At 38.7% G+C, this 12,479-nt stretch overlaps 1 protein-coding gene across 1 annotated transcript in view; it reads left to right on the top strand.

Annotated features, from left to right (window-relative positions):
- Nucleotides 1–12,479, top strand: part of GRPR (gastrin releasing peptide receptor) — a 29,954-nt gene that overhangs the window by 15,211 nt on the left and 2,264 nt on the right. The window contains exon 2 of the mRNA NM_005314.3: nt 11,530–11,881. Coding sequence (NP_005305.1) covers nt 11,530–11,881 — 352 coding nt within the window. The remainder of the gene's footprint in view (nt 1–11,529; nt 11,882–12,479) is intronic.

Below are 12,479 nucleotides of genomic sequence, written 5' to 3' on the forward strand. Positions count from 1 at the left end.
GTATAGTTCAGTGGCAGTAAGGACATTCACAGTGCTGTGCAACTATCACTGTCATTCTTCTCCAGAACTTTCTTCATCTTCCCAAACTGAAGCTGTATGCCCATTAAGCAACAAGTCCCCTTATTTTTGTCATTTTCTTTTGTTTGCTTTCTTTTGTTTTATTTATGAATTTTGGGGGATCACATTTAGTACATCACTATTATTCATAGTGGGGATAAATTCAAAAGCATTAAATTTGAAGAAATGTCTGAGATTGAGCCCTGGTTCTTCCAGTTGTCAGCTATGTGACTTTGGGCAAACCACTTTGTAAGCTTCAGTTTCCTGATCTTTAAAATGGGGAGAGGATCATCTACTTTTCATATATCATAGGACTGTTGTAATTTTTGTAATGATGTAATTAAATAATATATGTTGACTTCTTTATGACATGTTACGATTCCTAGTCAAAAGAGTGAGTGCACCGTTAGCATGACTGCTATTTAGGTTCATAGGGGAGCCAAGAGGTTGTCGTAGAAGTTGACTTTCTAGTGGACTCGCTTTCCTTTTCAGGAAATACAATAATAACCTTTTATTTAAATCCAACTTTTCCAACCCGCAGCCTGCGGACCACCTGCGGCCCGGGATGGCTTTGAATACGGCCCAACACAAATCCATAAACTTTCTTAAAACATGAGATTTTTTTGAGATTTTTTTTTTTTTTACTTGTCAGCTATCGTTAGTGTATTTTATGTGTAGCCCAAGACAATTCTTCTTCTTCCAGTGTGGCCCAGGGAAGCTAAAAGATTGGGCACCCCTGATTTAAATAATGCTGTTTTTCAAAGTGCGTTTGAAAAATTTAGCTCATTTAAATCCTCATCATACTAAGTAAGATTGGTATCTTTAGCTCTGTTTCACAGATGAAGAAAATGGAGGCATCAAAATCTTGCAGTTTAAAGTATGGACTCAGACGCTAGATGGTCTCTGTTTAAACCCCAGCTCTTCCACTTGCTAGCTGTATGACCGTGAACAAGTTACTTAACCTCTCAGTGCCTTCGTTTCTTCATGTGTTAAGAAAAAGATGACAATAGTAATACCTATCTTCTAGTATTGTTATGTAGGGGCAGAGGGAAAGCTTCCTCTAATTCTTGAAAAGTGTCGAGAACTTTGTGCTAGGCACACAGTGAGTACTATGTAAGTTTTTGTTAAATAACAAAAAATAAAAAGAAACGGAGACAACATGCTTTCACAAAAACAGTTAATCATAGAAGTGGGACTAGAGTGCAGGGTTCCCAGTCTTCATCCAGTCCCTCTCTCCCCGTCTTGGACCTCTGCACCATATGGTGATGCCTCACCAGCACTGCCAGGATCAACCTCCTGGGCCAGTGGTCCCAGTAAGCTACAAAGTTGGGTCACCATTTCACCATTTATAAAACCTTTCCCAAACATTTATTTAAATCTAGTGCTGTTAAATTTTTATAATTAGACACAGTGACTCATATGCCATGATGGTATTTTTGAGCTGTAATGATTCTTATTTTGGAAAAAAATGATAATGTATTTTATTATGATAATTTAGAAGTTCCATTTTTATCCTTAATGATTTGAAATATATTTAAAAACTGAAAATTATCTGTGATATTTCATTTTCTATATATGTGTTTGATAAACTGACCGGATCAGGAGAAAAAATGTACATAGTGAGGGTGTCCATATCCCCTGGCACAACTCAGAGGTCACTTAGAGGGCTGGGCTTCCTGTGTTTCTCTGACCAAGGGTGATCTCTGGCCAAGGAAAGGTTTGGGGTAGGCTGAAGTGCCCCAGAATTACCACCAACAGACAATTGTCAACCAGAGATGAGAGTTGGTGGGTAAACACCCCACCCACCTCATCCTTTGGTGGCACAGTTCTGGAACGTGTTAACTGTGGTTTCTCAGGGGATTCCCAGCAAGAATGTGCCCCAGTTGCCCACCGTGGTGCCCTTTACTGGCTTTTTCTACCTCCCTGTGCTTCCTGGCATCTTCTTCCAAATAAATTACTTGCACCTAAATCCTTGCCTCGGGGTCTGTTTGGAGGTGAACGACAATTTACAAAGGCAATTTATGACCCTGAATCTATTATCCCTTCCACCTAGAGCACGGTTAATTTTTCTTTGTCTTCGTGATTTGTTTTTTTCCCCCGTTCTCTGTGTATCTTCTTTGCTACGCAGTAAAGTAATTGCAGGCTGTGTCTAACTACAATTTGCAAATGGGATTTTGAAATGTTTTTCAAACATTTTGGCTCATAAAATTTTAACAAGTTATAAATACATGTTCTTCCTCCATAACATTTTTGAGGAATGAACAATGTGTGCCAGGATGTTTGAACACCTACTGAAATTAAATGGATTACTACTTTCCTTTGTCATTTCAAACATATCCACTGGTAACTGTAATATTTCATCCTGCATATACCTTTCTGATGGGCTCCCTTACAGGATTAGCATTGAGCTTTGAAATTGGATCACTCTGCTGAAACTCATTTTTGGCCCAAGGGTCAATAGTTGCCCAACTCCTTATGAGAAAGTGCCATAAGATGTCCAACAACTAATTGCATCTCTCTTTCCATTTTATCCCTAAGCTTCTACATCCCTCATATCCCAGGATCAGTACCTTCTCAATGTCAGTAGCTCTTTCTCTAGCCTTGTTCCAGCCTCTGGTTTCTAGTCCTTCACTGGTGCCATTTTTCACCTTGGCTCTAAGGTCAAAGTCTCACTCAGATGACCACTGCTGGCCCTGAGGCCTCTGAATATTTTAAGGAGCCCAGACACTGCTCTAGGCCTCAGGCCATAGGGAACTGCAAGGCGTGTATATGGGGGTGAAGAGAACCTTTGAAACCTTAGCCAAGTTTTCTGGAAAGTGTCTTCTGGGACAATGAACCCCAAAGTGAACTTCACATGCTCCCGGAGAGGTGTGGCCTGATCTGAGAGATAAGGGAGGAAAGTACCAAAGCCTCTATTTATATTGATTTTTATTTTAATAGAAGGATGAATTAAACATGAGTAATATGTAGTATCCAAACTGAGGCTCACCCACATCAGAGGATTCCTTATCACATGTGGCTCAGGCAGCAGGAGTGAGTGGCCCACTATCTAGAAGGCTCAAATAGGACACCCTTACTCTTCTTTGCACTTTTAGCTTAAGGGAAGGCATCGCCAAGTGATGCTTGTTGTGCATAATCTAGTTTTAATTAAAGTAACCTCTTCAAATGGGCAAGTGGCTTAAAAATATTCCTGCTGAAACAAAATAGACAAAACCAAACCCCACAGATTGTAGATGATATTAAAATTGCAAGCCCAAGAGAGTAATATGAATATAACAGAGAAGACACTTCTCTCATTCCCGGTATAGGCTCTAATCAGATATGACACATTCAATCACATCACAGTTATAATAAGCTTTTCTGGTGGCAAAAGGTTCACTGACAATAAACTAGGATAAAATATTTAACAAAAAATATTTAAAGTAGGCTTTAAAATTTTATTTTACTGTTAGCTCATCTTTTAAAAATTCTACATTTTAGCATATGTTTTCTCCCTGACTTGTTTATGAACTCTTGTATAATACCCACCCACATTCAGCAATTACCATTTCCTAGATTTTTTTTCTCTCTTTCTTTCTGTGTGTATGTTGTTGTGTTTTGTTTTGCTGAGCTTTGGAAAGTAAGGTGCAAACATCCTCACCTTTCACCCCTAAGTATTTCAGTGTATATTTTCTGAGAACAAAGATAGTCTTCTACACAACCCAATGCCACCATCACATTGAATGAAATTAACAATAATTCCTGGTAACATAGAATGAAATTGTACCTAATATATTAGTACAGTAGTACATATATATAATTTATACATTAACATACATACAATGTAGGTGTATGTTCAATTTGTTATTACTTTCTTAAAGCTCTGTTCTTCAAGGATTTTTAAAGAATGGGGGTTGGTATACTTCCCTAAGTGCCCCCACTCCCCCTCCAACTTCCCACCACCCTTATTCCAGCTTCTTCTTGGGCATCCGAGTAGACTGACAAGGTCCAGATGAATGTGTCTGCAGGGAACTGGCCCAACTTGTGTTGCTAGCTGGAATATAACTTTTGTTCCTTTCTTCTCTTCTCCATCTTTTCTGTCTTCTCCCCTTTCATCTCCTCTCCTCCTCTCCCTTGCCTCCTTCTCTCCTATCCTCAAGTTTCCTTTCTTTTTCTCTTGTTCCTTTTTTTTCTCTTCCCCTCCTTCCATCCCCTTATTTCCCCAGTGATTCTGCTCTTTTCCTTTTAGTCCCTCAGGCATTCCTGCTCATGTCTGACAGCAGAAAAGTTGGGGAATTATTTATTTAATTGCCCTTTTGCTGGAGCTCTTCACCCCTCCATGCCCTGTTGATCACACACTCAGACCTGTGAGCTATAAAGCTGAAAGCTTGTTCCCTCCATGCAGGGACAGAAATTCTCTCCTGCCCCATATTACTGCTCTTTTTTACCCATCCTGGTGGGAAAAACTAAAGTTTCACCCCTCTCCAACACTTTACCTCTCCCTGTTGAGCCAAAAGCAAATCCCAAGACATTTCTTTTCCCCAGCTTAGCTTCTGCAGTCTCTCTGAATCATTGAGGTTTTCCAAGAAGTTGGTGCTCACGCACAAATTAAAGCAATGAAGAAAAGGAGCCAAAAGATGGAGGACTGCTGGAGTAAACAACCTGAAGATTCCCAAATATTAATATTCCCCAAATGCAACAAGCCACCCAAAGTTCTAGAACCTCCCTGCTCTCCTTCCTTTGTTCGTTCCTATTGGAGGAATACCTTTTGACTCTTCCTTAGCTTCTCTAACAGGATGTGGCTTTATTCCACTTCTCCCCAGTCTTCCCTCATCGATGTTGTCAATATTACTTGAAATTACCACAAAGACTCCTTACTCCTTTCTTTAGAGGTTCCTCAAAAGCTTGAGGCTAAGAATTGCAAGTCCCTTCTGGAGGGTAGAATAGCGAAGTGGGATGTGAGTTCTGTTTGTTCATTCAGTGTAGCACCTCAGTTCTTAAAGTAATGGGGAATGTAATACCTAATATCTAGAGGGTTCTTTCTAGTTATTTTGTTAACATATCCCCACGAGCTCCTTGTCGGTAAAGAATTGTCTCCTGTTCAAGGATGAGAATACTGAAGTGCAGAGTCCACGATTCATCCAAGACCATACAACTAGTTGGGAGAATCACCATTAGGAACTACATCTCTTGATCCCAGGTCTGCATTGGAGCCCAGAGGAAACTAGAGTATATTAAGAAGAGGTGAAAAGGAGCATTGGAGATATTTATCCTGGAGAAAACAGAAAAGCATAACTGCAATCTGTTACATACTTAAAGATAACAGTTGGATTGGCACCAAAGACCAGTAAGTTCTCCATTTGTGGAGTAATAGCTCAGAGAGATAAGATTCCATTGCTCTGGGTTATAATCATCATATAAGCCAGCTAATAATTGCCTTACTTGTTCAGAAAAATTCTTGGTGCTATTCTCAGGAGAAAATAAAGCTGATGTTTAGTAGTTTTGTCAAATCTCATCAGGTAGAATTCTAATTTTAAGGCAGGCAATGTGTCAGTTACCCTAGAGACCATTTAGTTTGTTTAATTATCGTCTTCACCTCAGTATTCTCCACATAGTATACATTAGGATTGCAGTGGAGTTTTAAAAATATTGTAGTGCAACAATTCCTACAGACTTCCGTAGGTAATTATGGACAAATAAGGGCTGAAATGCTGGATCCTTAAAAATAAACAAACTGCCCATATTTGAATAAAAGACATACCTTTCTGTGGGCAAAGGTTTCCAACCCAGAGTGTGGCAGCCAGCTACTTCTAGTTGCCAAGAATCTCTTTGACAAATTAATCTTCCCACAGAGAACGTTTTGTGACCTTTCCAATGTTTGTATAAGAAAAATGAAGCACAGATGTTTTCAGAAGTGGGAAACAATTGTTTGAGCCCCATATTGTCAGAGGACCAAATTTGTCAGTCTATTGAAGAATGATTTTTACTGACTTAATGTGTAAAAGGGAAACTTCTCTCTCTCATTTGTGAGAAGTTGGAAATAAGAGACACAACGGCAAGTCACATACTAATCATCAATTAATTAGCAAGTATTTGCCGAGTCCCTACTTTGAAATAAGTGATTTGCAGAGCAAGGAACCTGGAACATTTTTAGTGAGACAGGAAAAAGAGAAGAGGAAAGCATGTAAGCTTCTGACCTCAGGAAAATTAAGAAAAAGTCAGGTAGAAAAGACATACCCATAGAATGTAAATTAGTATAACCACCATGAAGAACAGTTTGGAGGTTCCTCAAAAAGCTAAAAATAGAGCTACCATATGATCCAGCAATCCTGCTGGGTATATACCCAAAAGAAAGGAAATCAGTATATCTAAGAGATATCTGCACTCCCATGTTTGTTGCAGCACTGTTCACAATAGCCAAGATTAGGAAGCACACTAAACGTCCATCAACAGATGATTGGATAAAGAAAATGTGGTACATATACACAGTGGAGTACTATTCAGCCCTAAAAAAGAATGAGATCCTGTCATTTGCAACAACATGGATGGAACTGAAGATCATTTTGTTAGTGAAATAAGTCAGACACAGAAAGACAAACATTGCATGCTCTATTTGGGAGATTTAAAAATCAAAACAATTGAATTCATGGACATGGAGAGTAGAAGGATGGTTACCAGAGGCTGAGAAGGGTAGTGGGATAGGCGGGAGGCAGTGGTGGTTAATGGGTACAAAAACTAATTAGAAAGAATGAATAATAAAACCTACTATTTGTCAGCACAACAGGGTGACTATAGTCAATAATAATTTAATTGTACATTTTAAAATAACTAAAAGAGTATAATTGGATTGCTTTTTACACTAAGGATAAATGCTTGAGGGGATGGATACCCCATTCTACATGATGTGATTATTATGCATTGCATGCCTGTACCAAAACATCTCATGTGCCCCATAAATATATATACCTGCCATGTACCTACAAAACTTAAAAATGGAAGAAGAAAGAAAAGACATACCCATAGAAAACTAGCAAACAATTCAAGATAGTGCATAATAAGCAGAAAATGAGAGGAGCTGATAATCTTGTCATAAAAGTCAGACAGGTTGGGAGAAAGAATGGGAACTATTAAGGCCTAGACTGGTCAGCAAAACTTCATCAAGATGATACTTAAACTGAAATTTGGAAGGATTGGATTTAAATGAATCAAGAATCTGGAATTGGGCATGATGGAAGGAGGGAAACAGGAAAGCAATGGAAAATTTAGGAATGAGGCATAGACTAGTCTATCTCTTGAGTACAATGAAAAGTGGACAGCTCTTTCTTTCAGAGGGTAGCAAGTGGGGAATGATCTATGTAAAATGATCTTGGAACTAAATCTGGTGATAACTTTAAAGGGTTATCACATCTAATTGTTTTAGATAAGGCTCTTTTGTTGGCAAAGAACAGAAGCCACTCAAACTAACTCAAGGAAAAAGGGGATGGTAGTATTGTAAAATTATAACAGGACATCTCTTGTACATTCAAAACTAGTACATAAGCCAGAAACCATACCCTCTGTATGACTTAGGGCCACATTATCTCAGCTTCTCCTCTTATGTCTGCTTCATTTTTTTTTCTCTCAGTCCATTTACTCAGCTTATTCATCTTCTGCATGTTTAAATATGGCTGCCCTGATCTTTTCCTTGACATCAAAATCTTATATTTCCAGCATCTATTACTAACTATATTCTCTCTATTTTTCCGTTTAAATGCTTAAGAGAAAGAGAATCTCTTTAGTAGCTAGCCAGGCAGTTCATTGGCTGGTTTAGATCGGGTATCTACTCTAATCCAACCAGCCATTGCTCCTAAACAGGAACTACCCTGTGGTGTCTCCCTGCATTGGGAGCTCTGGGCAGAGCAATCTAGGCCAGAAGAGGAAATAGACTGATATGCTCCATGCTATACAAAACCATTAGACTTGCAGGAAACATTTTGTATGTTCTACATACATTTGAGAAACATCTGGTCTATCTCTCTCCCTCTAGGAAGAATTTACCCAAAGCTCTCTTCTGAAAGAACTGTGGTGTTCTAAAAAACATTGGTTCTAAATTGAATGTTGACTCTACCACCTCTTAAACTGAGCTTCAATTTCCCATCTGCAGAGTGGAGATAATAATGTCTACCTATTGGAGTTGTCTGGAATATAAATGAGATAATATAGATTCTATTCTCTGCTTGGAAAAAGGCAAGAGCTTAGTAAATGGGATTTCTTTCGTTTATTTGCTATGTTCTGAACATACCACAACAGAAAATTGTTTGCAATGCATTTTAACTTATTTTTAATTGCACAAGTGATATATTAATATGTCAATACTTTAAAGCAAATACTAGATATTATATTATTTCACTGGTAAATACTTTAGCTTGTGTCTTTTATAAACAAGGTCTTTTAAGAAACACATAGCCGCAATACCCTTATCACACTCAATACATTAAAAATAATTCCTTGATATCACCAATAGTACATTTATATTTGATTTTCTTCAATATTTATTTCACAAATATCTTTTTATTGTTGTTTGGTTTGACTCAAAATCCAAAAGGAGCCTACACGTTGCATTTGGTTGATATGTCTTTCAGTCAGTCTATAACCATTCTCTCATTTTCTATGCCATATATTTGTTGAAAAAAAATGGGGTAATTATTCGTGTAGGATTTTCCAATTCAGAATTTGGCTGATTGTATCCTTATAGCATCATTTAGCAGGTTCTTCTATCACCATATTTCCTGAAGACTGGCACATAAATCTAGAGGCTTAATTAGATTTAGATTCAAATTAATTTTCTAGTAAAACTATAAATGCTTTATACTATATTTTATATTTTAAAAGTTGTGAATTTAAAAGAAAGAGCATAGTTCCCATGGTATTTTGCACCTAGGAAGACAAGATTCCTAAAAGAGAAGGACGTAAGCCATTTACTCTGGTTTCTGACTGAGTGAATCACCTTTACTCAGAGAGTTAGTGTAATTATGACTGCTATCTGCCAGAAAATGCAGATAGAAGTCTTAGTTATCATTTTATCTCTAACAAATTTATTAGCGATATCTTTAGCCATATGCATCTTTGGCTGAAGATGTTCTCATGCCTTTAATTAAAGATACCAATTTCTTGCCTACATTCTAAGCTAGGAAAATGTTTAAAATGGCTAATGAATAAAGAAGATCCAAAAGAAAATAGAACTTTATTTTAAATTTTTATTTTTATTTGTATTTGTTTAAAAATAAAGCAAATACAGGTACATTGAAGCAGGACTGTAGTATTGTTCTGGAATTTTGGGGTTTGGGGATGTTTAATAAATAATAGCCCTCTCTTCCCTACCTAATTTGAGAACAAAAAGCCAGATAAGGAAATCAGAGAGACTATGATAAAAATAGTTGCATCTATGTCTGATAAAGCTGTTTGGGGAATGTAACTCAGGTCTATAGCAATAATGAACTTGCAGACACTCTCTTATCTTCTATATTACACTTGCCATTCCTCTAGACAGGGCCAGTTAAACAACCATAATCCTCCCTGAGCCCAATGCACAAGCCAGGTTCTTTTTCCCAAACTTGCCACTGAATAATTCCCCCTTCCCTGGTAGGAGGAGGAAAGTGAGTGAGGAGTCAGGGTGCAGCCAAGAGTGGTAAACCAATGGAGGTCTAATCAACATGAAAACAAGTGGAAATAAGTATTCCCCTTCCCTGAAGTCCATGATATAAAAGAGTATCATAAGTAGAGTCCAGTTTAAACACAGCATTTTCAGCAATAAACACCCTCACATGTAGTTGGTCTCAACTCATATCAACTTCCACATTATAGTAGCTCATGTTCAATTGAACAAACTTTTGTGGAGTGTGTGCAAATCACAGTGCTGGCAGATTCCAACATAGAAAAAGACATACTCTTTGCCCACCAAAGGCTCATCCTCTGGTGGGTTCTCAGACAGGTGTACGCAAGATAATGGTGCCCTTGTCTTGTCACTCACTGTGCTAGAGACCGTATGGGGAGTGTGCAGACATGGAGATGTGCTGCTCAGACCTCCCTTGAAGAAGAGACTTGCCCAGTTGCAGGGGGTGTGGTTAGCTGAAGCCTCCAACTACCAGCTCTTTCAGGGTCCACTTCAGCTTTCAAGCTGTGGTCATGTTCTTTTGGGTGGTTCCTGCCCAGTGACTGAGCCAGGTGGTAACTGAGATCACATTCTTCCTGGGGTGACCCCATGCAATGACTAAGCAAGGTGATTATACATGGGCCTGGCAATTTCCACCCAAAGCAGGACTTCCCCGTTGGGTAATCTTTGTTCCTAGGCTTCCTGTTGGGCTAGCGTAGAATGACCAGCTATCCCAGTTTGCTTGGACTGAGAGATTTCCCAGGATGTAGGATTTACCATGCTAAAACTGGAAAATTTCCAGGCAAACCAAGATGTTTAGTCATCCTCGCTGGTGTAGACCTGAGAAGCTCCCTCTTTCTATCCTACTTCCTCCCCTTTTTCCTTTCACAGGTATTGCTCCTCAATAAAATTTGTATTTCTTACTTCATCTCAGTGTCTGCTTCCCAGAATACTCAACCCAAGACATGGGCACAAATAGCTCACAAACCAGGAAGAACCTAAATACTTCAAGAGAAGATAAGGCTGAGATCAGGAAGGCAAGGGAAAAATCAATGTGAAAATTACAGGGATTCTCCTGGGTATTACTTTTTCAAGGGACCATTTATTATGCATACTTTGAAAAAGAAAAGAGGCATATTTAAAATACTCAACGACTTAAGGTTCCCTGAAGTGGATCTGAATACGCAAAATGAAGGTTTTGCCAAAAAAAAAAAAAAAAAAAAAAAGCCAACCTCCTTGTCTCTGTGTCCTTTAACTAGCAACATGCCTTGTTATTAATTTCTATGATTTAAGAAGAAAAACAAAGGGAAATTCAGCTTTTCTAAGAGGTATTCTTAAAATCAAGAGAGAGTGTGAATTGTACAACATGGTGACTATAGTTAATAACAATGTATTGCACACTCGAAAATTGCTGAGTCGATTTTAAGTGTTCTCATTTTAAAAAGATAAGTATGTGAGGTAAAGTATATGTTAATTAGCTCAATCTAGTCATTCCACAGTGTATACATATTTTAAAACACCATGTTGTATACAGTAAATATATACAATTTTTATTTATTTATTTTTAATTGGCTTTAAATTAAGACAAAAAGAGAATATAAGCGGAATGGTACTTGTGGAGAGAAGAGAAGGCATCCTTCAGGGCTAGATTAGAATGAGGCAAGTGGCTATTTGGAGTACAAAATTTAAGGAGGCACTCACTCTCAGGGTCACAGAGCTCAGAGTCGGCACCCTCAGGACCCGAAAGTGAGCACCTCCTTAAATATTGTACGCCAGGTGTCTCGCTTGCCTCAACTTAGTCCTGGCCCTGGTATTCAGAATAATATTATGCAACTGATGGGGATGCTTCTTTCCTGCCCTAGATACAAAGCCATTGTCCGGCCAATGGATATCCAGGCCTCTCATGCCCTGATGAAGATCTGCCTCAAAGCCGCCTTTATCTGGATCATCTCCATGCTGCTGGCCATTCCAGAGGCCGTGTTTTCTGACCTCCATCCCTTCCATGAGGAAAGCACCAACCAGACCTTCATTAGCTGTGCCCCATACCCACACTCTAATGAGCTTCACCCCAAAATCCATTCTATGGCTTCCTTTCTGGTCTTCTACGTCATTCCACTGTCGATCATCTCTGTTTACTACTACTTCATTGCTAAAAATCTGATCCAGAGTGCTTACAATCTTCCCGTGGAAGGGAATATACATGTCAAGAAGCAGGTAGGTGCTCAGGATTGATTCATTTCCTCCTTGGGGATATAATCCCTTGCATTTCTTTTGGACCCCACTGACAAGCCATGACACTTGAATCTGCAATTAGATGAGGTGGGTGATGTGTGGCCAGATGCTAAATGGAAATGCCTAGCCATGGAAACCCAAGGTGTTCTTTATAGTCTTATTCTCCTGTTAAAGACCTAAGCTAGGGAGGTGTTGTGAACCTGAAATATTTCAAGTGTGGGTTTCTTTTGGAGAAATAATCTGAAAAAGAGTTGTATTTTTAAAATAAATAAATGAAGCTTTGAAGCTCATGGGGATGTGACTTCTTTAAACTCCAGTCACATTGTTTGCCTAGAAAGAGGATTACCACATGGAGACAAAGCAGGAGGCTGGAAAGTGAGGGCAGTTGAAGAAAAAGAGTAGTTTGATTAGGATAGGCTCACACTGATTTGGGCTCAAGTCCAAGCCGCATGATGTATTCAGCCTCTCTGAGCCTCAGTTTTCTTACCTATCAGATAGGCTTATAATCCCTACATTGTAAAACTATTGGAAGAAGATTACAAGAGAGAGTATATGTAAGGCCTACAGTGCCCAGCATGCA

The sequence above is a fragment of the Homo sapiens genome, chromosome X, assembly GCF_000001405.40.
Source record: "Homo sapiens chromosome X, GRCh38.p14 Primary Assembly".
Classification (NCBI taxonomy): domain Eukaryota; kingdom Metazoa; phylum Chordata; class Mammalia; order Primates; family Hominidae; genus Homo; species Homo sapiens.